The 25,421-nt window shown below is 42.4% G+C and overlaps 1 protein-coding gene, 1 long non-coding RNA gene and 1 pseudogene across 8 annotated transcripts in view; 2 read left to right on the plus strand and 1 right to left on the minus strand.

Moving 5' to 3' along the window:
• The first annotated feature begins 870 nt into the window (after positions 1–870).
• On the plus strand, positions 871–23,631 carry LOC124903932 (uncharacterized). Of its 2 annotated transcripts, XR_007065633.1 has the most exons (4): positions 871–1,167; positions 16,467–16,645; positions 19,269–19,468; positions 22,786–23,631. It is a non-coding gene; the product is annotated as an uncharacterized LOC124903932 (long non-coding RNA). The 2 variants fall into 2 exon arrangements; XR_007065634.1 differs by lacking the exon at positions 16,467–16,645.
• Positions 15,420–25,421, minus strand: part of TEKT3 (tektin 3) — a 39,860-nt gene continuing 29,858 nt past the window's right edge. For all 6 annotated transcript variants that reach the window (XM_017024954.2, XM_011523989.2, XM_017024955.2 and 3 more), the window contains 3 exons: positions 23,867–24,089; positions 20,272–20,426; positions 15,420–15,760 (listed from right to left, as the gene is read on the minus strand). In XM_017024954.2, the coding sequence (XP_016880443.1) occupies positions 15,544–15,760; positions 20,272–20,426; positions 23,867–24,089 (595 nt within the window). In that variant the 3' untranslated portion in view covers positions 15,420–15,543. The remainder of the gene's footprint in view (positions 15,761–20,271; positions 20,427–23,866; positions 24,090–25,421) is intronic.
• Positions 22,954–23,060, plus strand: RNU6-799P (RNA, U6 small nuclear 799, pseudogene; annotated as a pseudogene).

Consider the following 25,421-nt stretch of genomic DNA (forward strand, 5'->3'; position numbering starts at 1 on the left):
CTCTAGGGATGTGGAGTTTTGCTTATATTTTTTCACAATACAGGATCTCTGGGACACATAACTACTTCCCCTCTAAATACTTTACTCAGAGATATTCTAAATTTAATTTCCTGGTATATGCCTTCCTGACCCACTTGCCCAGTGGGAAAACATTTTCTGTTGAACATTGTAGAAAAAAATTGATGTATTTTAAAATCAACTTTTTGTCAAATATATGCATTCTCTACAATAAAGTCTCCCTTAATTCATTTAGCACAGTTTTATTTTCTTTGCAAATAATTTCTTTTTAAAAAAAAGTTTCTGTATTTTGTTTTCACTATTCTGTTGGGTTAAATTCTCAGTTTACAAAAAAGAATCACTGATTCAAAACTGGTCTGTTAAAGAATAAAACTGTAATGAAAATAGTAATATAAATATTGCTGCTCAAAATAACATCATAAATATAAAAAAGAGAGATGACTCCAGTCTAGTTCAAATATAGACTATAAATCTGCATATTCTAGAACAAGGACAGGCAAATATGTTTCCTACAAATAACGTCAACTGCAGAGTTAAATTTTTAAATTGGATTTCCCTGGACTAAGGAATCTGCTTCTACTCTGCAATGATTTATCTGTTTAGAAACATTGTTGAACAGAGATGTGAAGATTTTGCATCATTTTTCAACAGTGGCCTTTTTTAATATGCCCACTGAGATTTTTAAAATCCTAAAACAAACACAAAATATTGCTTTTCTAGTTTTAAACTTAATATTTCTATCTAAAGAGGCACACAGTCAACACTCAAATCCTTCTCCAAAGCACACACAGGTTTAGGTCAAAATAATCCCCCAAAGTTTGTAAAACCAGTTTCATTAGTTTTTGAACATTTCTGCTCAGAAAGGAAACAGCATACGCTTGTGGAAATCATTTGTGCTGTTCACTACGTTTCTCTAGCTCATCAAGAGATTGCATCTCTCTGCTGCCCATAAAGTGACACATGACCCTATAACCGGCTTCAGGAAATGAGAGTGGAAACACAGCTTGAAGAGTTGGTCTGCCATGTACCATGCTGTCTCTCCCCTTGCCGCCATGACAACTTGGCACTGTTCCAGTAATGGCGGCTCCGCCAGCCTGGGTCCCAGAGTGTGGAAGGCAAGCAGCAGAGCCTTCAGGAGATCTGTGCTAGGTATGAACTTGTCTGAGTAAGATTTGGAGGTCATTTGTTACTGCAGCATAACTTAGTCCACTCTGAGTGATACGTAGTGACTGACAGAACTCTTTAACCATTAGACATAAGTTGGATGAGGCAGAGTATTAATAGCATATAAAGTGCGTATGCACAGCATACAATGAGCAACGTCACATACTTGTGTTTGCTTTTGGTTTATGGTTGGATTAAACCACTGATATAGCAAATTTGGAACTCACTCTTGGACTAAGAGTGATATATATTCAAGGAAAAAAATGGCTGGTGGTGTTTTCCTGTTGGAAACTTACGTTACAAAAGACGAGGTGTTTGTTTTAGTTAACAATTATGGTGTGAGTCATGGTAAGGACTGGAAAATGTGTGTTGAAATCAGGATACATGGAAACTAGCTACGTAGGCACTGAGGAAAGGAGATGCCGTGACAATAAAAGAAGTTGCTTCTCGGCCGGGCGCAGTGGCTCATGCCTGTAATCCCAGCACTTTGGGAGGTCAAGGCGTGCATATCACGAGGTCAGGAGATCGAGACCATCGTGGCTAACAAGGTGAAACCCTGTCTCTACTAAAAATACAAAAAATTAGCCTGGCGTGGTGGCACGTACCTGTAATCCCAGTTACTTGGGAGGCTGAGGCAGGAGAATCACTTGAACCCGGGAGGTGAAGGTTGCAGTGAGCCGAGATCATGCCACTGCACTCCAGCCTGATGACAGAACGAGACTCCATCTCAAAAAAAAAAAAGTTGTTTTTCAATGTCAGTCTTCTCACTACTTGGTATTCAACATTATACATATTAATTGTGATGCAATAATGAAGGAAGTACATTCAGATTGGAAATTAAAACGAAGCAATGCCTATTTGGTGTATATATACCTTCTGAGTGCATAGTGTGAAGGTATTGGCAGAATATAAAATTTATTTTCCACACAGACTGTTAGGATAAGGGGTACCCAAATGAGGATTTCAAAGTAGGAATGAGTGGTTGTGAGGTTTTTGTTGTTGTTGTTTGTTTATTTACTGTAGAGATGGGGATCTCACTTTGTTGCTCAGGCTGGTCTTGAGCTCCTGGGCTCAAGTGATCCACTCACCTTGGCCTCCCAAAGTGCTGGTATTACCGGCGTGAGCTGCCACAGCCAGCTATGAGTGTGTGCGTGTGTTTTTTAAGGCATTATTACTACGTGGCACTGATAATATCAGTTAAGGCCCTTTAAATAATATCAAGTGATTTGTCCATGTGGCACGTGGAATATCTTAGCAATGTATTTGGCAATTCATGAGGATTGTTAGAGATGGACGCTGGATGCAGATGACTTAATTGCTAAGAATTTGACTCCTTTCAGATATTTGATGATTTTCTTCAATTACTAGAGGAAGAGAGTAGTGGCATGTTGTTGGGTACACAATACTTCAAAACTGTAACTGAAGGATGCCATGGAATTTGAAAAATTCCAAAGCCCAATTCAAATAAAAAGTGTGTTAGGAACCATTCACTGCTACCTTCCAGCTTTTGAGTTTAATACACTCTTACTGCACTTCTAAATGTTCAGATGGATGCAGGGAGTACAGAACAGTTTCTCACCATATTCTATTTAGTTCTTCGTCAGGTGATTTCTGAAAGAGCCACCTAAAATTTCCTTCGGTCTGAATGGCCTACAATTGTGAGCTAGGATTCTATGTTTTTGATATGCTTAGATTAACATTAAATTTACTTTTTAGTACTTTCATGACTTTTTAAAGTCCATGATCATCTGAAATTTATATTAGCATATCAAATGAAATTACACTCTAATTTTTTTTCCAAAAAGCCAGTTATTAGGTCATCCATCCTTTTCTTCATCGTTATGAACCGTGGATTTTATTGGATCCACACACACATGTGCGCCTATTTTTGGACTTTCTATTTCATTGATCTGTCTGTCTATCCCAGTCATAATTACTATAGTTTAAAAATACTGCTTCTGGAATAATAATCAAGTGAAAATGGATGAAAAGTTTTTTTAAAGATAATGAGAGAAATCTTACCTTAAAAATAACTTCAAAGTTATTATGAAGTATTTCATCTATCACTAGAAGATAATATATGCTGTATTATACATGCTTTACTTTCTTGCCCTCTGCAAGCCTGCACACATGAACAGCTTTCTCTGTGTCAAAGCAACTCACATTGACTTCATTGTCTCTCTGATTGCTGCTTTTCTCTCCTTCCTTTCACTGCCGATCCGCCCCTGCTGCCATGGAACGTGCTCCTCTTTCCCTTAAATTCCTGTGTTATCTGGGTACACTGCACTCCCCAAAGAGAACTATTAAAAGTTATCAGTGACCTCCTTCTTGTCCTTCAACTCTATTTCTGATCTTCAGCCTCCCGCACCTCCCTTATATAATGTTGCCCCTCAGCACACCCACCTTGGTACCCTCTCTCCACTAGCTACCCTGGACCTCCTCTGACTTTCCTGCTGGGAACTTCTCTGCCTTCTTGCTTTTCCTGCATGTGTGCTGCCTGTACACACTTCACTTCAAGTGTGACTGGGGGCGCCTTGCACACATTCCTTAACCTTGCTCCCCGCCTCCTGTGGTTTGGATATGGTTTGTTTGGTCTGGCCAAGTCTCCTGCTGAAATTTGATCCCCATTGTTGGAGGTGGGCCTGGTGAGAGGTGTTTGGGTCATAGGGACGGATCCCTCATGAATGGCTTGGTGCCATTCTCTCAGGAGTGGGTAACGTGTCATTCTTAGTTCCCAAGAGAATTGCTTGTTGAAAAGAGCCTGGCATCTTCTTTTCTCTCTCTTGCTCCATCTCTCATCATGGGACACACCGGTTCCCCTTCCTCTTCTGCCATGAGTGGAAGCTTCCTGAAGCCCTCACCAGAAGCAGATACTGGCACCGTGCTTCTTACAGCCTTTAGAACTGTGAGCTACATAAATCTCTTTCTTTATCAATTACCCAGTCTCAGACAACACAAACAGACTAAGACACCCCCAAACCCTGAGAGTATGAGTTGGTTTAGTTCACGTGGCTTGTGTTCATCAAGGACCAGCTGAACGTTTTCACAGCGTGGTCTACTGTCAGCTAACACCTCCTGGTCTAAAAGGAACTGCCCATCTTCCTGTGGTCTCCCAGAACAGCTCCTCTCCTTGACACTCCGATGGCACCATTGTCCCCAGCACCTCCAAGACATCTTCTGGATGTGCGTGAAAGGAGCCCCTAATTTACAAACCCTTACCACGTGATTTCTCCTCCTTCCACTCTGCTGCCTCCGCTAGCTTATTCTTCCTACTTCCTAAGTAGGTTCCATGGAGGCTTCTATTAAAAGCTTTTCTGGCTTCCTGATCCCAACAGGATTAATCAAAATTTCTTACCTTGGCACCCAAGAACCCTGGTGTCAGTGCACAGACGTTGTTTGCAGCATCTGTACTCACTGCCACCCTGATTGATACTGAAGTCAACAGGATTTGGATTTCAAGCTGGACTTGGTCTCGCAGTGGCTATGTGGGCTTGGGCAGGTTATTCAGCCTCACTCTCATCAAAGACCTTGGGTGGCGTAAGTGGGATTTCCTACATGTAGCCTGTATGTGTCAAACGATGAAGACCCTCCAGTGATCAAGGATCTTGCTTGTTGAACATAGACGCAGAACGTGGCTACACTGTACAACAGTAATGGTAACACCCCTGGACTTCAGAAGGTGAACAAAAGGGCTCCCCTCCCTTCCTTCTTCCATCTTCTCAGAGGTCAACACAGGGACCCTCCTTTGTTTCTTCTCTGCTCGTGGAGATCAACAAAGCGATTCTCTCTTCCTTTCTTCTTGGTCACCCCTTTTGACCCATTGGAGCTATTTATTTCTTGGCATCCCCAAAATGACCATTACATGTAATAGGTGTTCTGTAAGACTTTGCAAATGAATTGTTGCATGAGACCACCCATTCATTGTATAGAGAAAAGATCACTGAGAATGAACAGATCTTGGTTTAGGTTCAGATTTGCCCTATTCTGACTGCATCACATTCAACAACTATATAACCTTGCTAAGCTTTAGTGCCCTAAATTTTCATGGGGTGCTCTGGTCAGTGTTCAATAGCCGCACGTGGCTAGTGGCTGTCATTCAGACAGATAAGATGTAGAATATTCCCATCATTGCAGAAAGCCCTATTGGACAGTGCTGATAGATAAAACACTACAAGAAGGGTGGTGTGTCTGCCAATAATGTCATTAAATACTATTTATGGGAAATGCCTAGAACAGAAGCTACACAGACAACAGAAACACTGCATTTGGCAGAGGAGACAGCCTCTGTCTCTAGATTACTCCAGTGTGTCCATGGAACTCGATTAGTAGGGATTCAGACAAACAACTAAAAGACCCCATTGCAATCATCTGGGCTCATTGAATGATAGGAAAGAAGAGGAAAAGGCTACCTTGGAAAGGTAGCCCCACCTTACACAGGAGCCCCTAGTGTTCAGCCAAAGATACCAAGCAATTCTAAAAGATAATCTGAGGCTTCAAATGGGAAGTTATGGCTTTCAGGTTTTGTTTTTTGTTTTTTGTTTTTTTGAGACGGAGTCTCGCTCTGTCGCCCAGGCTGGAGTGCAGTGGGGTGATCTCGGCTCACTGCAAGCTCCGCCTCCCGGGCTCGCTCCCATTCTCCTGTCTCAGCCTCCCGAGTAGTACTTTTAGCAGAGACGGGGTTTCACCGAGTTAGCCAGGATGGTCTCTATCTCCTGACTTCGTGATTCCCCCGCCTCGGCCTCCCAAAGTGCTGGGATTACAGGCGTGAGCCACCGCACCTGGCCAGCTTTCAGGTTTTTAAGCTTCTTAATCGATGTAAGAAATCGAGCCTTCAGTCAAAAAGGCAAAGGGAGCTGCATGGTATTTAGCTCAGGGAAAGAGATTGGGAGGCAATGTATAAGAGATTATAGCTTATCCCAACGAGGAGATATTATCAGATGATTGCCGGACCTCCAATTTCCCCAGATCCCCTTCAATATAGTTCTATAATGTGTTACTATTAACAAATGCCTTGGCTGGATTTGGCATTACCAGCCTTACCCTTAGTTCCTCGAGGGCAATACCTATGTCCATCTTTTCACTCTTCACAGCACAACCACAGTGCTCCTGCAGGACTCAAGATTCATGTCACTCCTTGCCTTAAAACCCTCCAAAGGGTTCCAGATCCCACTCGCACACCCAGGATTGGCTACATAATTTGAGGCGCCCAGTGCAAAATGGATATGCAGGGCTCTTTGTTCAAAAATTATTAAGAATTTCAAGATGGGCTGGGCATGGTGGCTCACGCCTGTAATCCCAGCACTTTGGGAGGCCAGGGCGGGTGGATCACCTGAGGTTAGGCGTTTGAGACCAGCCCGGCCAACATGGTGAAACTCCATCTCTGCTAAAAATACAGAAATTAGTTAGTGTGGTGGCACGTGCCTGTAATTCCAGCTACTCAGGAGGCTGAGGCAGGAGAATCACTGGAACCCAAGAGCCGGAGGTTGTAGTGAGCCGAGATCGTGCCACTACACTCCAGTCTGAGCAACAGAGCTAGTCTCCATCTCAAAAATAAATAAATAAATACATAGAATTTCAAGATGGTGAGAATAAAGCACTAAACCAAGCATAGACCCTTCTGAGTCTCACACCAATGAAGCTGGCCCTGCCCCTACATAACTCCTATAGATAGCTACTCAAATTTTCAGGGTCTTTTAAAATGTGTTTCTCTCTATCTAGAACACCCATGGGGGCTCTCCCACTGCCATCGTGTTGCATATTGATTTCTCACCTTTCAGATAATTGCTTAAATGTCCCAACTTTGAAAAGCCTCCCAAGGCCCAAACACTCAAGTCCTTACAAATTCTCATAATTAACATAGTTCTTTGTATGATTATTGGTTGCCAGTATAATCCACTGACTGTAAGCTCTGTGAGGACAGACCCCATTTCTGTCTCATTCATCATATTATTTTCATGATCTCATAAAGCACTAGCACATAGAGGGTGTTCAGTAAAAATTGGTTTATTGAATCCGTGAATAAATGGATGAATTGCAATTTTCTACAGACCATCTCTTCAAAGGATTGGCAGGGGGGACAGGAGGAGGATGACTCTGGAGGCGAGCATACCACAATTCCCAGTCCAAATCCAGTTTCCAGCCTAGTGTCACTCAGGACACCTGATTCAACCAGCCCGAGAGCAGGGAGACAGTAAATCCAAAGATTTGGATCTATTTGTATATTATTGGACCATCCTATTGTTCCTACTGGGTCTCAGTGTATTCTTCTCACTTGCCACTGAATTTGACTTGCTTATATATTTTTCAGGGAGTTTTATTGATTACGAAAAAAGACTTCATTAGATTATTCCTCAAAGAAGTCTTACGGGTTTCCAACCTCTATTTTGAAAGACATAGCAATGGCTTCCGAAAGGCCAAGCAATGCAGCCTTTACAACTAAAAACATAAGCGTGTCTCATCTGACTGATAACAGTATTTAACTGAGGAGAGAGAGGCTATGACTGGGGTGGTAGAGGTCAAAAAAGAGTTTAGCCTCATCTGTAATGTTTCATCATCTTAAAAGGGTAATATATTTCTATGTTGTCATACAATTTTATATAATATTAAGATATAAAATGTAAGTCATTTGCTATGCAGGTAATATGGACAGAGAAAAAAAGAAAAAATATATGTAAATTAATATTATATATTTGCTTCACCTTCCTGGCCATAAAAAAATTAAAACTCAAATTCTTAAAAACAAGGATGCTATACCCAAAAAATCCATATATATGGATATACAGAAATAAATATATAGATATGGTTTAAATGTTAAAATAAGCAGCTGCCTTGATTATATCCATCACATAACTGACGCTACAGAGCTTCTCATTCTCATCATGGGATGGATTTTGTTGACTAGTATAATTCTCTAGTTGTTTTGTTCTCTTTACTGAGCCAGAGTATTTCACTAATGCCAATCTGGTTATTAAATTTTAATTTGATGTCTCTTCAACTCAAAATTACACTCTAACCGCGCAGTCTTCTGTAAAATCATGCAAAGGTAAAGAATCACAAGACTACGTGCCGTCAAGACCTTTTGTATTATCCATTTGGAATTTGTAGTAAGGCCCATGTCTTCGGCTCATGTGCCTCTTCCTCTGTTTGCCCAATTGACAGCTCAAATTTTGTGTTAGAGAATGTCAAGCTTCTTTTATTTTTTATGAATAGAATTAAGCTACACTATAATGCTGCTTTTGTAGACATGAATGAACAGGTATTGCACTATGGGTTAGGTCATATTTCTTGATTTCTAACAACATATACTTTTAAAGTTAATTTTACAGGTCTAGTCCCCCAGAATGACTCAATCTCCCATTTTCTATTGGACTGTACACTGGTGCTATAAATTAAAACCACATCATGTTACCTGTCCCAGCTGGTACATTCTTGCATCTCTGGGCCTCAGTTCATCTCAGGCCCAGTGTGGCCACCGACACTGCAATTTGAAGTATGAATAAAACAAACCTAAGCTCTAGGACTAAACTGGGGCACCCGTCTCTACTGTTATCCTTCTTAAGTTGCTTTGTAAAATAAGCATCTGAAGACATCATAGTATTATTTCAATCTCCAAGCCAGAGCTTTCTGTTTCTTACCAGGGTTTCAATAACCTCAACAGCAGGGTACAGCAGTTCCAGCCACACAGGGCACATTCCAGAGCAGAATAGAGGCTCCCTCTTTAGTCTGGGCACACGTTCTTCAGGTCTGCTTATTTGAGGCCTGCTCTCTGCTCCCCTAAAACTCCTTGTTGTTTCTCCAACCCAGCAGCTGAAGTTCAGCTGCCACTGAACCTCACTGTTGTTTCTGTTATAGTAAAGTGATACCAGGAAAGCTGAATAACCTTCGCTTATATCTCCTGGCTGGCCCCATAAGCGTTTGAGCTTGCCATCCCCACTCTATAGCTTCTGAGTGTTTTAACACTAAAGCGCCTTGGGTTGTTTTGGCTCTCATAGTCTTAGAAATACCTGCACCTCTGGGCTGGCTATTCTGTGCTTAGAGGGCCTTGCTTTGTCCTGTTTCCTAAATAGGTACAAACTTTTTTTTTTTTTTTTTTTTTGAGATGGGGTTTCTCTCTTGTTGCCCAGGCTGGAGTGTGACGGCACAATCTCCGCTCACCACAACCTCCGCCTCCCAGGTTCAAGCAATTCTCCTGCCTCAGCCTCCCAAGTAGCTGCAATTATAGGCATGCACCACCACACCTGGCTAATTTTGTATTTTTAATAGAGACGGGGTTTCTCCATGTTGGTCAGGCTAGTTAGTCTCAAACTCCCTACCTCAAGTGGTCCACCCGCCTCGGCCTCCCAAAGTGCTGGGATTACAGGCGTGAGCCACTGCACCCGGCTGAAAACTATTTCATTTTAGCCTGCTATTTCTAGGGATGGGATGTGCTCAATTGCCTAGCCAGCACTACCTGCACTCTGGGGAACTAAACAGTCTGAATTTCAGAGTGGAAAATGACCATTCATGTTATAGTCCCTGCATTCAGCTGTTTCTTCTGGTTGGTGCATCAGTCAGGATAGGCTAGGTTAGGCTGCAGTAACAACTCCATAGTGTCCATGGCTTACGACTGCACGAATATATTTCTTTCGCATGTTGAATGGCTGCAGTGGGTCAGCAAGTAAGTTCTGTTTATTGTGGTGGCTCAGAGAATATCTCAAATGTTCTCGGTTGTCATGTCAAAAGGAAGAAATCTTTGGACAATCTCACACTGGCAATTAAATATGCAAGTCTGAAGTGACTCACATCCCTTATGCTCGGTCACATGGATCCACTCATCCACAAGGGACTAAGGAGGTGGAATGCTGTAAATAGTTTAGTAGTCTAGGCCACTTATGGCTAGGTTGGTTTTCAATGACAGAGTTCTGGAAATCAAATAACTGTACCTCACTCAATCTCTTCTGGCATCCTGTTGGCAATACCCATTGACATTGATGAGTTGTGGGACTAGCCTCCATATACCTTTTATCAAATTGTCAGGGAATGGTTTTCTCTATCTGAAAAAACAGAGTACATAGATACTCAGTTCTTATACTTAAATTCTACTTAAAGATAGAATCAAAGAAGTTTAGAGCTAAGACTTGGCAATACTATGGTAACATTTATTGTACTGATGGTATTGATTATTTATAATAAAATATTACACCTTCATGAATATCTGTTGGGATATTAAAACATTGGTTTTAAAATAATTTCCTTTAAAAACACAACTTTTGAGGATGTCTAATTCATTCTAAACAGCTTAGAAGAAGGCACTGTAGGATGATAGCAAAGAGCTTTGGAAGCAAGCTCATCTGAGTTGAACTCCTGACTCTGAAATGCGCCCCTGTTTGGCTTTGGGTTATTTTCCTTCCCTAAGTCTCAATTTTCCCATTTTAGAATATAAATAATTAAATGTATGTACCTTAGCCATGATGTTGAAATAATACACGTACAGTTGTTCTGCTCAGGAAAAGCTGGCTATCATTATCATTACATGTATCAATCTCAAGATAGGATCAATGACACAGAAGCTGGATCCCACTCATGTTTTAATTTTATACACATTTTCCAAAAGTAAAAATTTCTTAAATGCTTCTGTCCTCAGATCTAATTCCAATAATGCAATCATTTTACACATTTTTTGTTGTTGCTGAGAAGGGAACCACTGTCTGGGATTACTCTCCTCTCAGAGACCAATTAACAGTATAGGGGCCGGGCGCGGTGGCTCACGCCTGTAATCCCAGCACTTTGGGAGGCCGAGGTGGGTGGATCATGAGGTCAGGAGATCGAGACCATCCTGGCTAACAAGGTGAAACCCCGTCTCTACTAAAAAATACAAAAAATTAGCCGGGCGCGGTGGCGGGCGCCTGTAGTCCCAGCTACTCGGGAGGCTGAGGCAGGAGAATGGCGTGAACCCGGGAAGCGGAGCTTGCAGTGAGCCGAGATTGCGCCACTGCAGTCCGCAGTCCAGCCTGGGCGACAGAGCGAGACTCCGTCTCAAAAAAAAAAAAAAAAAAAAAAAACAGTATAGGATGGTAGTTAAGAGCTCACATCCTAGTATCAGCCAAGAGGACTCAGGAGATTGTCATGTTATATGTTGGGATCATAGTAAGCACTCCACAAATGTTAGATGTCCTTCCTCTCCAGGAATTTGATTTCTGAGAATCCAGTGAAAACTTTAGTTGTCTATTGTCACGTAACAAATTACCTAAGAACTTAGTAGTTTAAGACAACAATCTATTATTTCTTGAGATTCTGTGGGTTGACTGAGCAGCCCTTCTCTCTCACATGGTATCAGCTGGGGCACTAGGAGAGTGGGAAGATCCCAAATGGCCTCACTCACATGGCTACCAGTTGGTGCCTGCCTAGCCTGAGAGCTCATCTAGGGCTGTTGGCTGGGGAGCCTCTCCGTGGGCTGCTTAAGCTCCCTCACAGCATGGTGGACTCAGGCTAGTCAGATTTCTTATATGGCAGCTAGCTTCCAAAAGCAGAAGCTTCCAGGCCTTCTTAAAGCCTAGACATAGAATTGACACAGTGTTACTTCCATTGCACTCTATTGGTCCAAGTGATCACAGAGTCCGCCTATATTCAAGGAGGGAAGACTTCACAAGGACATGAGTATTTGGAGGCATGGTTATTTTCCCACAGATATTTCCCACCAATATCTATGATATCCACCTTAGGGAACTGGGAAATTTGGTCGCCCCTTCCAGCACTGCTGCAAAGCATCAATATGTTAATCTTTCAGACTGTGCTACATGTGGTGCTCATGGGTGTTGTCTGTGGACCTGGCTTATTATTTTCCTCTCAGGTTGCTTGTCCTCCTCTCTCTTCAGGAGCCCCTGTCCTTGCTATACCCATGAAGAGCACTGGGGTTGAGAGATGAAGACAACCAGCTCGTTGCAAATAAATGGGTGGCCCTCAATACAGATATGGATTTTTATTATCAGAAAATGTGCAGTTTTGCTAAAGAGCAGGTTCTCGGGCAAGCAGAGCATCATTTTTATGGAAGTAGGGAAGGCATTCTTATGTCTGAGTGACTGCAGGGCTAAAATGCCAAAGACGGGAATGCTGAAACTTAGTCCAAAGATTTCACATCACCTTAAAAATTAACCTTTACTTTACAGGGAGGGAAAAAAGTGCTTGCAAAATAAAAGTTATTTTTATGGTTCCCACAGCCCTATGCATACACAAGCGGATATTATTTAGAATAGCTATGAAAGGCTCCCTGTTCTCAATAAGCTCTCCCCTCACTCTACCATGATGCCATCTGAGTTGTTCAGGAGTCATGGTGATGTATTTAGGGGTCTTTCCTTGCCAAAAGGAAAACGTGGGCTGCAGAAAGGGTCTCCTTCTAGCTCCTAGCAAAATTAGCAAATGGGTAGGTCCTATGGGAATGAGCCAGAGGTCACAAGACACATCCTTCTGATGTTGAAAGCCAAGGATTTCTCTGAGCTGAGAAAGAATTCAGAGCTGTTTAGAGAGAGGGATGAGGGAATGTATGCAGCCACTTCCCCATTCTGGATTCCCTGCAGATGGAACTGTCCCATTCTGTAGCCCAGGCTGGAGAGCAGTGGCATGATCATGGCTCACTACAGCCTTGACCTTCTGGGCACAAGTGATTCTCTCACCTCAGTCCCTCAAGTAGCTGGGACCACAGGTGTGTGCCACCATGCCTGGTTAATTTTTTTTATTTTGTAGAGAGATGGGGTCTCCCTATGTTGCCCAGGCTGGTCCTGAACTCTTGGCCTCAAGCAATCCTCCTGCCTCAGCCTCCCAAAATGCTGAAGTCCTAAAATTCTTAAACAGGACCACGCTTCTGATCCTTGGAGCTCTTGGACTTCAGCAGGAGCCACAGCACCCATTTCATATGGCACTATCTGTTGACCTCTCAGGATCCTTCTCAACTCAACCTTCCAGATAAACATTCCCAGTGGTCTAGGACTGGCCCCCAAGGTGAATTGATTCACCATTCCTGGGGAAGAGATTGAGTATTGTTTATTTTCCCCATGAATGCATGAATACTTATCAGACCATATATATTAATATAGAGCTCAGATAGCATCATCAGAGCACTCTGCATAGAAGGCTGGTCTTGGCAGTTGGTGCCAATGGTGAATCCAGCCCTGCTGGGAACAGTTTCAGGGCCAGGGCTAGAAGAGGGGAGGCTGCAAGGGAAGACTCGGGCACAATGATGAGCAGCAGCTTCACCTCCTCCTTTGTGCTTTGGGTTAGCCCTGCATACAAAGGGAAGGAATCCGCCCGTTTCTGGTGCAAAACAAAAATTATAACCTAAAATCAGACCCCACACTTCAGCTATTTACAGCATGAACTCAGGACTCAAAAGTGCCAGGTGAGGTGTTTATGACAACACTCTCCGGAGACAGAAATGGAAATTACTAAAATTACAGGCGACTCGGTTATTTAGGGGCAATTACACACATTTCTAAATCTGAATGATGCTTGGGTAAGTGGAAGCCTTTGACATTCCAGCAGCCCTTCTTAAAGCCACATGATATTAAAGATAGTTTGGGCTTAAATAAATAAAGCCAGATCATGTGCCAGTATTTGTAGTCCTAAGATTCTTAAACAGGACCACGCTTCTGAGCCTTGGAGCTCTTGGACTTCAGCATTAGAATATTTACCCTCCTGGAGTAGCTGCAACATTTTAGATGAGAAACCAAATGTTTATTTGTGGAATTTAGCCTTGCCCACGGTTTACCAAAATAACAAAAAAAACTTTTCTATGTCTGAATTACATTTCCTTCCCATCACAGTCTTGTAATGCCAGGAATATATATGCTTCAGTAAAAGGACTGCATAAGCATATATTCCTAAAAAAAAAAAAATACAGTTCATGAAAAAAGTCAGAAATGTTTTACCCCAAACACATAACAAATAAGAGACATGCTGAATTTATGTTTATTCCCACTATTGTCTAAAAGTCATAACTACCAACATTTGGTTACTCTCATTGCTAAAAATTTTAGTGGCATTTATATACCTTTGTTTCCATTAGAGGCAAAAACAGAACAACTAAACCTACAATTTGATTTCTAAAATGATATACTGAGACCACAGCACAACCCCAATACAAGCTTCTCATCTGGACATCCACTCTTCTGGCATTCTGAGATGATTTGTGAAATTTACTAACCAAGGTCTTAAAACACTTTTAAGAAACAGAGAGAGAGAAGGAAATGGAGTTGGGGTTAATGGACAGTGGTTAAGGCAGAGCAAGGAGAACACAAGGATACAGAGAGAAATGCTAATAAGAGAGAGAGACACAGAAGCGTGAGAAATAGGAGAGAAAAGAAAGAAAATCTTGCTCCCCTCCTGGTTCATCTTCCCATTTCAGAGCTCTCAGACCAAAAGGATTCAAAACTAGCATGCTTTCTACACCATCTAAACATACTTTCCAGGTGATTAAATGCCACTTTTAAACATACAAAAGAATTAGAATAAATTATAAATAAATTATCTTGGGATACAGAAGTGCTTTCTGAGCATAATTCCAAAGGCATAAATCACACAGAAAACACTGACACATTTTTACTTGTGTATTTTAAAAAACCATAAACAAAATGTGAAGGTAAGTAACATATAAAGAATATATTGTCAGTACATAGGACAAAAGTGTCACATATGAAGAAATACAGTGGGCGAGGTGCCTGGAGAAGGGGGGCAGTGGGTGTTCAACTCCAGGTTCAGGGGCTGGGGGAACTGAGGAGTATCTCTGAGCATGGAAATGGCTTTATGAAAGCAATGCTCAAGTAATAAAAGTTTGAATTGGAGAGATGAGAGTGGAACAAAAAGAGACGTGCAGAACACATTATGAATTATGCATTATGAATCACAGCCAAGCTGGCCCTACCTACTATTGTTCCAAATGCACTCCGTATTTCTCTACCTTTGTTTTTGATCAAATTACCCCAACTACCTCATACCCAGTGGCCTTTCCCCTTCTTACTGTGGATCCTTTAAAGCAAAACTCAGAAACCACCTACTTCATGATTCCTGACTGCCTCAGAGAGAATACAGTCCTCCTTTCCAGCCCATTCGGATTACACACAAAATGACAAGAATCACACCAGTTATCCTTTTTACCTTCTCTATTAGATTGATTATATTTCTTCATATCCTTCCCATAACCCAGACGCCTAGTAAATAATAGAAAATTAAGGTTTGGATGCAAACAAAAGGCTTTCCGAGACAGGAGGTTGGTACATTTCCATCAGCATAATCCTTTAATAAGTGACTATATTAGCATTCGGTTCAAATGCTGAGACAGTGCTCTGGCTCAGCCTTAACTTAGGGGTATCAAAACCACACCCGGTGGGGTCCCTAGCAGAAGCCGACCAGCCGGAGGGTGTTGGGGTAGCTCTTGCGCATGCTCATGCATTTTTCCTGGTCGATGTACAGGGAATTGGCTTTGACAGCCAGGTCATACTCGAGTGTGGCTTTGATGTGGACCAGCGACTGCAGGGTGTCCTCTGCATCCCTCAGGCGCTGCTGCAGGGTCTGGATGGTGTCGTCAACCTCGTGTACCTCGTTAACAAGGCTGCAGCATAAAGGAATCAGCATGGTTAGGTCAGCATGTAGCTTACGCAACTCCAAGTACATCACATTGTAACCAGCGATGCAAAGCTCACATTTTCTTTACTTTAGGATATATTTATCAGCAAATGAGAGGTGCATGAAATTAATAAAATATAAAGAAATATAAAGAGAATGGTGACAATGAACCAATGGGAATGTAGATGTCCCAGGAGATAGAAAAGGATTTCATAATTATAGAAAAATATCTAGACCATTTTAAAATCATTATGCCAAGGCAATTCTATAGTTTCACAGAAATTCACAACTGGAAAACGAATTTAGAGAGGTCACCAAGCCCAACTTCCTTGTTTTACAGACTAGGAAATAGAGCCCAGGGGTTCATAAGCTGTCCTTTCCATCGACACAGGGCCCACATGTGTTTGTAAGCTGTACCTGCTTATCCAGGAAGCTAAGAAGGAAATTCAGCGCTTCAGTGGCCATAATAAGAAACTGGGTCCCATTTCCTGGCCCCATTCCCCTCTCAGCTCCTTGAGACAGAAGAGTAGAAGCAGAGACCCAGGAAGACCTATCTCATCATCTGCAGACACATCCTGGAATATGCTTGCAATTTCTCAGACCTCGAGGGCTTCACTCTTGCTGTCCCCTAAGCTCAGAATGCTCCTAACCCATTCTTCATCCCGCTAATTTATCCCATCCTCAAATCCTAGGTGAATTAACACTTCTTCCGGAAGTCCCTCCCTTAAACCGGAAACCATCTGCTGCCCAGTGTTGTGACTTCCAAAAGGACCAAGCCTTTTACGGCACTCAGGGTCTTGTGATTGTCTGCTTGCAACATCTGCTGTCCTTGCCCAGGGCTACATCCACAGCCGCTCCTGCAAAAATACAGGTGTGCAAAAACTACTTATTGGGTGAAGACCAACTTTCATGCCCTAGGTGAAACGGAGGACGTCTTGGGAGGTAGAGAGTTGCCCAAGGTCTGAATCCATGGGATCTACTAAGAACAAGACCCAGACCCAAGGCAATAAAAAGGAAGGAAAGGCAGGACGGAGCCTGGAGCATTCGCTTCCAAGCCACTTGTAGGTGGCCTAAGAAGAGGAAGGCTGTGGTAAAGGCCCCCACGCAGGCTGATTGAAGCAACAACAGGCCATGGGAACATATCCACGCTGTGCAACACCTTTCATCTTACAAGCTCTACTGTCTCCTGCTTTCCAATGGGGAGGGGAAGAATTAAAGTTTAAGTGCCAAAGTTTGGTTTTGTCTGGGGACGGTAAACACAAAACCTGAGAACTCATCAGAAAGCAAATTTCTTGTTATTGTTTAGGCCAAACTGAATTAAAAAAGAAAGGCTTTTTAAAGATCCCAGGGTATAAAATATCACTAGCAAAGAAATACATCTTCGGCGAGGCTGCCGCAGATGGCTGGTAATGGGATTTTTGATGGTGGATTGTTTACAATCACACGGGGCCTGCCTCTTGTCTCCCACCCTCCCTGGCTTCAACAGGAACCCTGAACCCCAACGTAGGAAACAGAGCAGGATGATATATGTGTCTTTACTCCTTTCAGCCAAATACGAGTCTAGTGGAAATTTTATCTGGGAGGGAACATTTGAAAATATACATGTCAAAACATCAATGCTAAAAAAAAAAAAAAAATCGAGATATAGAACGTAGGCAGTTAGAATACTTGTTTTCACACTGCTGCATGGACACAACTAGGGAATAACATGCTTCCACTTCTCTCATCGTTAATTAGAAATATATTTTTCATCATCTTCAAGGCCCTATTTCACTCCCAGTTTCCTTGTTCTTGGCTGATTGCAGAGAGCTGTTCTGCTGAAGTCACTCTTTCTCTTTCTTTCTTCTTTTTTTTGGAATTACAGAACCACAAAATGTCTTGCATTCAAATACAAATAAAGCTACCACAGTTTATTTATATATATGTGTGTGTGTGTGTGTGTGTGTGTGTGTGTGTGTGTGTGCATATATATATACATAAAGATTATTTAAGTAGAGCAGAGCCTGGTCTGTCTGGCCTGCCACCAAAAATGCCAAGAATGTTTAGAATCACTTTTGAAATAACTCGTTTAGAACATTTTTAAATAAAAGTAAGTCTTGAAATGAAAACAGCAATTTTTCTCAGTCCCCACTCCCCTTAGTTTATGATCTTTATTTTTTCTAAATCTAGACCGCCGAAGGGCTGCTTTCAGAACCATCCATTTAAAAAGGAAAGTAATCCCCTCCCCCAATAATAATCCTAAAGATTTTTGGCAAGGATATTTTAACAAGAAAACTTGACAGAAACAAAAGTAGGTTTTGTTCAAAAGTCAGTAAAGGAGCAGAGGAAATAGACATACCATGAAGTCGGCAGGAAGTGAAAGAAAAGCAAATTCTGTTTAGCCAGGAATAGGAAAAAAAAAAAAAAGAGTAAAAATCATTCAGCTCCTCAGGAGAAGCTGTGAATGCCTCATTGTTTGATAATTCCGAAGTCCTATTAGACCACTACCCAAAACTCATTTTAAAAGCAACCCTGTGTCTGTCTAACGGCAGTATAAACAATTTATTTGTTCCCATCTCCACTTTTGATGACTCTGCAGAGATTTTTGGAGAACGAAACATCAGTTCAGCTTCTCCTAATAACATTTACATAAAGTCAAAACTGGTGATCTAACTCTAATAGGCCAAGTGGGTGTGCACTCACTGCTGGGTTCTTCTAAAGCAGAGAGGTGCCTCCAGTTGGCTGTCTAGGGGCCCATGTAGTCTCTGGAGTGGAGAGCTGCTTATCCTAAATAATGAGCTGTGCATGAAGAGGGGTTCTATGGAACCCACTTTGAAAAACATGCAGCCTGAGTGATCTCTTCTGTGGCTATGGCCTAGATAACAGCTCCACCAGGAGAAATACAACTCATCCTGGAAATGAAGATCATTTGCGTACAACCTAAAGCACGCTTCATGGCACTCAACACAGACAACATGCGTGCTATACACGTAAGGTGTTTCATCATAATGATCTCCTCTGTGACCTTCAGTTTCATCCTCTGTGTGAGAGGGAGATGAGCATGCAGCATTTACTTTGCCAACTCTTCTCAAATGAGATCAGGTACCTGACAGGGGGATGGTAAATGCATTACACAACGTAAAACACAGGAGAAAGAGAAGCAAATGGCTTGGTGGAATAGAACTCTGGGGTGAGACAGGCAAAGACTCAAACTGCAGCTCTCTCACCACTAAATGTGGCCTGGGCCAAGCCACTCACCCACTCCTGCCTCAGTTTCCTCACTTGTAATATGAAGGTAATGAATGAGATAGTATAAAGTGCTTAGGGCAGTGCCCAGCATCGAGTCAGGTTAAGAGATGGTAGCAGCTATTATTATCATTGCATTGATTATCGCCATCATTATCTTTACTATTATTATCATCATCATCAATGTTGGCCTCACAAGATCCCCCTTCCTTCCATTTCAGGAAATCCACTGTCTCAAACCACCACTTATTTCTTTATTTTATCCTTAGGATCAATCCTTCAAGATAAGAGAATTTTATCGTGGAAGCAGAGCGAGTGGCATCTCCCCACTGCACCAGAAAGGCTTCTGGAGTTCACGCACTGCCCTTGGCTCCTCCAGTTGCTATCAAGTTGATTTACTTCTGCATGGAGCATCTTAGGACCTAAGAATAGCAATGATGAAACCCAGAAAGAAAAGGCAGACTCACAGGTATTGGGAAATTGGAAATGAAGCCGGATTGTGGCGGGGGTAGGGAGGGAATCTTGGCCAGTTCATTACAAGTCCATCCCAAAATGAATCTTCAAAGTGAAAATAATAATAAAATTCATGTAGTGTTTAGTAGATAAACTGTGGGGTCAGATTCCTCCTGCTGTGTATATATAGGAGCTGTGCTCGATGAAGACCAGCTGGCTTTGATTTCTACTGAGAATGAAACACATTGAAATAAACTTAAATGAGATCCTCAGTCACAAAGACAGCAAATGAGTAGATAGGAGTCAGTGGAATTGGTACTGAAAGTCCCTTTTCTGTCGCGTTCCCCATGCTGAGAAATACACAGAAAGTCACAAACTGCTGCTTATAAGACAGGAGTTCTGGAAACTCCGAAGACTCCAAGAACATGCAAAAGAACCCGAACACCACACTGGCCTCCCCGAATGAGTTAAAGGCTTAATAGCACTTTTTGTGTGTGTAGCGTTGATGTCCTTTCCTTTTTTAAGGATTTGTGGTAAAATATACATAACATAAAACTTTAACCAATCTTAAGTGTACAGATCAGTGGCATTAAGTACATTCACACTGTTGGTGCAACCGTCACCGCCATCCATCTGCAGGACTGTTTCATCATCCCACACTGAAACTCTTCTGCATTCAACATCTCCCCATTACTACCATTCTCACAGAAGGCTCCTACATGCTGCGTATGGGCAGAAAGCAGCTTTCTAAAGAGCCAGGCACCACAGTTGGTCTGGTGGCCCTCCGAGCGAGCCCCGAGCCTTCCCCTCCCACCTTACCGTAGCTGAGCCATGTCTCGGCACAACTCAATGTTCGGCCGTCTTGTGCGCTCATCCAGTCTGGTCTGAGCCACCTTCAGGAAGGCAGTCTTGTCCTTGATGGCCTTCTTGATGGATTCTATGGTCATTTCAGTCTGGAAAATCTCCTGCAGGGTCTGTGACAAAGAGAAGCAACTGCCTGAGGCTTTGGTGTGGTCCCTTCAACAACCCGCCTCCCACCTCTTGCCTGTCCACTCCATGTCCAGCACGTGCCTTGACCTCGCTGATGAGGAAGTTGCTTCACCAAGACCGTCTATCCTTTCCAGCCCTGCCCCAGGGAACCCACGTGTCTCACTGGAGCTGGCATGCACCTGCTCTGGAGAGTGGGCGGCGCCTCTCTCCCCAACCCTAGGCTTGGCAACCTCATTTTGGTAGCTGGAAATCAGCCAGGGTGGGAGTATTTCAACTACAGAAATTGGCAAATGCTCCAAATTAGGGGCTCCCTGCAAGCTGCCCCCAATGGCCGTTGTTAATTACTGACCAGCACACCTCTGTGTTCTGATAAAAGTGAGGCTTTGAGTGGCCCTGATCTCCCTCCTCACATCCATATATCTGTGCATCTCTTCCCACTTTCTCTTCCTACCAACTTGAGCATTGCTTTCCTGCTCACAGAGGATTTCCCTTGCAGAGAATCAGGCTTCAGTTTCAGGTACCTCACTTGCAATAGAGGAGTACTGGCAGTTTTGTATTCCTGATTTTGTATTCGTTTTTTCTTAAAGAGGCCACCACCCCAAATTGCGTAAACATGGATCCCCCTTTGGTTCTCCCTCCTCTTTCTCTGTAAAGAGAGTCCCTGTCCTATGCTCTGAAAAGCCTCCCTTCTCCACGCATCTTGATCTCTGCACTCCTGTAGCTCCACATCCTCCCCATTACTGTCCCTCTTCCTGGGTTCCCTTCCATGGCCTGGAGACACAACCAAGAATCATCTTTTTTTTGGAAACCCTATGTTTTTACCACCACTCTCCCATCCAGTCCCAACTGAGTCCTCTGCCAAATGTATTCAACCATGGCTGTGCCCACTGCCTTCACTTCCCACCCACCCAGTCTCTCAGTGGCCCCTGGATTCTGTCTCTGGCCCTAGCTGCTGTCATGAAACTTCAGTTTCAAAGCTGACATCGAGGCCTCTCTGACACCTCCCTCTCCTTAAGACCCTCATCTTGTTTTCTCTTGCCAAGTGTTGTTCCAACTCCCTCCTTTCCAACTACTCCTCATTCCCTTCCAGTGCAAGGCTTTGTCCTTGGGTGATGTCTCTGCAATATCCTTTCTACACTACAGAGACCTCGTGCAATCACAGATTTAGCATTTGTGTCATCCAGGCACTCTTCAATCTGTCACTTGAGCTTCGACCTCTCTCCCAAGCTAAAAATCATTTCACTGTTTCTATCACTAAGGCCTTCTTCAGATACTATGTGCTCCATGAAACCATCTTGATCTCTTGCCAATGGAAACAACTGCTCCTTCTTGTAAACTGTGTTCACATTTCATCTGTGTTTCCAAGTTCTTTCTGCACCTTTCTGATGCAAATTCCCGTTTTCTGTGTGCATGTCTTGTCTCTAAGACGTGAGATGTATGTACATCCCCGAGTGCCTAGCACAATACCTTGAGTGTACCTGTTAGGGCTGAATAGTGCCTCTTCCCCCAAAATTCCTATGTTGAAGTACGAATCGCCAGTGCCTTGGAAGGTGACCATATTTGGAGATAGTGTCTCTGTGGGGGTGATTAAGTTAAATGAGGTCTTTAGGGTGGCCCTAATACAATACAACTTTGGTGTCTTTATAAGCAGAGGAAATTTGGACACAGACACACACAGAGGGAAAATGATGTGAAGACACAGGGAGAAGGTGGCCATCTACAAGCTGAGGAGAGAGGCCTCAGAGAAAACCAACCCTGCCGGCACCTTGATCTCAGACTTCCAGCCTCCATTAATTAATTTTCTCTCTCTCCAGTGAGAAAATTGATTTCTATTGTGGAAATTCATTACCACAGTCTGTGGTACTTTGAGTTAGGGCAGCCCTGGCAAACTAACATATCAGTAAATAAAAATTTGTTGAAGAAGGAACTCTGTCACACCGGCCTTCTAAAAGGCCTTTAGAATGTCTTCTTACAATTGATAGTGTCTGACCTCATTAACCTTCTCATCAACGTCTTCTACAACCTGTCTTCAACCTACTTTTCCATGTTCCTCTCCCAGGACACAAACCATCTACACCAGCCACACACCAGACTCTTTACAGACCTCAATTCATCCTCTGATTTGCTGTCTCCAAGGCTTTCTTCAAGATGTGGCCCCACCTGGAACGGTCACTTCTCCTTCCAAACCCCAAAAACACTTTTGTGCTTGTTATTTGATAATCATGATTTGCAATATTCTATTCGTATTGTTTATGAGCTTTTCATGTGCAAGTATTTCTTCTCTGTAATGTAAACTTCCTAATAACAAAAACTACATTTGATGCTTCTCTCTGCTCTTCACAGCATGGAACACACTGTCTGGCTCAACTAATATTTGTTGCCTAAAGCAGGCACCATGAGAAGGAAAAGTAAATCGCTGCAGCCTGAGAAAATGTGGTACCCTCAACTGGGTAAAACCATCGTAGGCAACATGGCTCATGGTGCAAGGTTCTTAAAAAGAAGAAACAACATTGCTTGCTTCAGCAGCACATATACTAAAATTGGAACAATACAGAGAAGGTTGGCATGGCCCCTGAGCAAGGATGACATGCAAATTCATGAAACGTTACATAGGTTTTTACTATAGGTAACAATACATTATATAGTTTCAACTAGCTAGGGGGAGGATATTGAATGTTTCCAATCCAAAGAAATGATCAGTGTTTGAGAGGATGGATATGCTCGCTCATTACCCTGACCTGATCACCATACATTAAATGTATCAAAACATCACTGTCCACCCATGAATATGTACAATTATTTTTTGTCAATTTTAAAAAATAAGACACAACAAACTATATGCAGCATAATCCACAGAAACAATAAGAGCTCCAAGACTGATATGAAGGAAAGGAAGAGCTCCTTGTTTATCTTGAAACATATGAATTCTGCTGGACTCCTTCATTTTGTAGTCATTGTAAAACTCTTATGCTTTCAGCACTTAAAATTTTTCAATATCAGAAACACTTTGAACTACCTAACAGTTTCCTGTATTTGGTTTTGTATTCCAGAAAAGGGGTCTAAAATACTTTAACAGAAAACATTTCTACCATATGTTCTAATAATAAATTCACTTCCTAGTTATATACAGCGATCCATTAAACTTTAATAATAATATTTTTGTTTCTATTAAAGACTAAGAACTTTTCATTACATAGTGCCTTCTTTGTGTTCCAAATACCAGTGGATTCCAATTTCATTTTGACACCTGGCTACCTGGCTGAAATAAATGGCATGCTTTGTGCTGTTTTAAATTTTTCTTGCTCTGTGTGGCCAGGCTGTCACATGCCTATGGTGCCTCTCTGGGAGTGGTGAGAGATTTGTAGTCCCAGAGCACACCGCTCTGTCCAGGTCAGCTAAGGGGTACCACTGGCGGTTGATTTACCTTTGCTAAGTGCGTCTGAATCTTATTCTTAGCATCTGCAGTCTCAGCAATGCGATTGGTGAAAGACAAGTTCACTTTGTTGAATTGATTCCACATCTCATTGGCAGTCACAACCAAGAGGTTTTCAATGTCGTCTCTTAGCTTAGCGGAAGCTGCCCGTTCACTCTGGGAGCGGAGAATATTGTCATCTGTAAATTTGGCCCAGGACTCAGGCACTGAGACACTGAAAAAGAGAAGCAGAAGCAGACAACAGTGAGAGTGATGAATCAGCCTACAGGATCGCTAGGCAATCATTTATCCTGAGAGAGAGAAACCCCCAGGTCGCTGATCCTAGCTTCATTATATAAATGTGAATATCAGAATGAGGCTTATTTTCAACTTTCCTTAATTATTCCTTATTTTACTGCTAATCAGTTTTCTATTTATCTAAAGCGTAAGCTGGTTCTTCTGCCAGTTTCAAGGGGCAAAAGGATTAATGAATGATGTGAACGTGTAGGTTCATTATAAATGTGTCACACATCACATCAATAAGCATATGACAAAATACTCAGCCTCAAGGGTAATCAAAGAAGCATTAATGAAAACAGCCTACTAAGGAAATATTAGCAGGAGTAGAGAGAATGATCATTTGCAGTGCTGGCGAGCATATTTAGAAAAAGTTTCTCTTGTATCCTACAGATGAGAATGTTGAATTGGTACAACCTTCCTGGAGGGTAAAGAGGCAACACAAACCAACAGCCTTTCATTCAAATGTGGAAAACCCAGAACTTCCACTTCTAGAAATGTATTATAAGGAAACAATGTACCCAAGGATATACGTGTGAGGATATTCATTTCAGCCATATTTATGCTGATCCCTGAAAAATGAGAAACTACCTAAATGCTCAAAAGTTTAAAACAAAAAGGTTGATTATGGTACATTCAAAAAAGTAATCCATATACCAGGCAAATTCATGTTAAAGTAGAATATTTATTTTACAGACAATGTTACTGAAAAATCAGACAGGCTATATTTCAACTGCGTGCATTGTATGGTATGTGAATTTCAATCAAGTTAACTTTTTTAAGAAAGTGGCTGGAAGAGACCATGGATCCTGCCCAAAATTGCATCCAGGGGCCTGGCAAAGAAACCACTGGTGGGGTAAGTTGAACAAGCTGTGGTAGGAAAGGCATCAAGCTGTTTTCAGCCTGTATCCCACAGCATCCAGGGCATGCTATACAATGGCAACTTGTGGCTTGTCTGTGTTTTTCTTTTTTTTTTCTTTTTTTGAGACAGAGTCTCACTCTGTCACCCAGGCTGGAGTGCAGTGGCACAATCTCGGCTCACTGCAACCTCTCCTTCCAGGTTCAAGTGATTCTCCTGCCTCAGCCTCCTGAGTAGCTGGGATTACAAGCACCCACCACCATGCCTGGCTAATTTTTGTATTTTTAGTAGAGACGGGGTTTCACCATGTTCGTCAGGCTGGTCTCGAACTCCTGACCTCAACTGATCCTCCTATCTCAGCATCCCAAAGTGCAGGGATTAGGTGTGAGCCACCGCACCCGGCCTTGTCTG

The sequence above is a fragment of the Homo sapiens genome, chromosome 17 (assembly GCF_000001405.40).
Source record: "Homo sapiens chromosome 17, GRCh38.p14 Primary Assembly".
Lineage (NCBI taxonomy): Eukaryota > Metazoa > Chordata > Mammalia > Primates > Hominidae > Homo > Homo sapiens.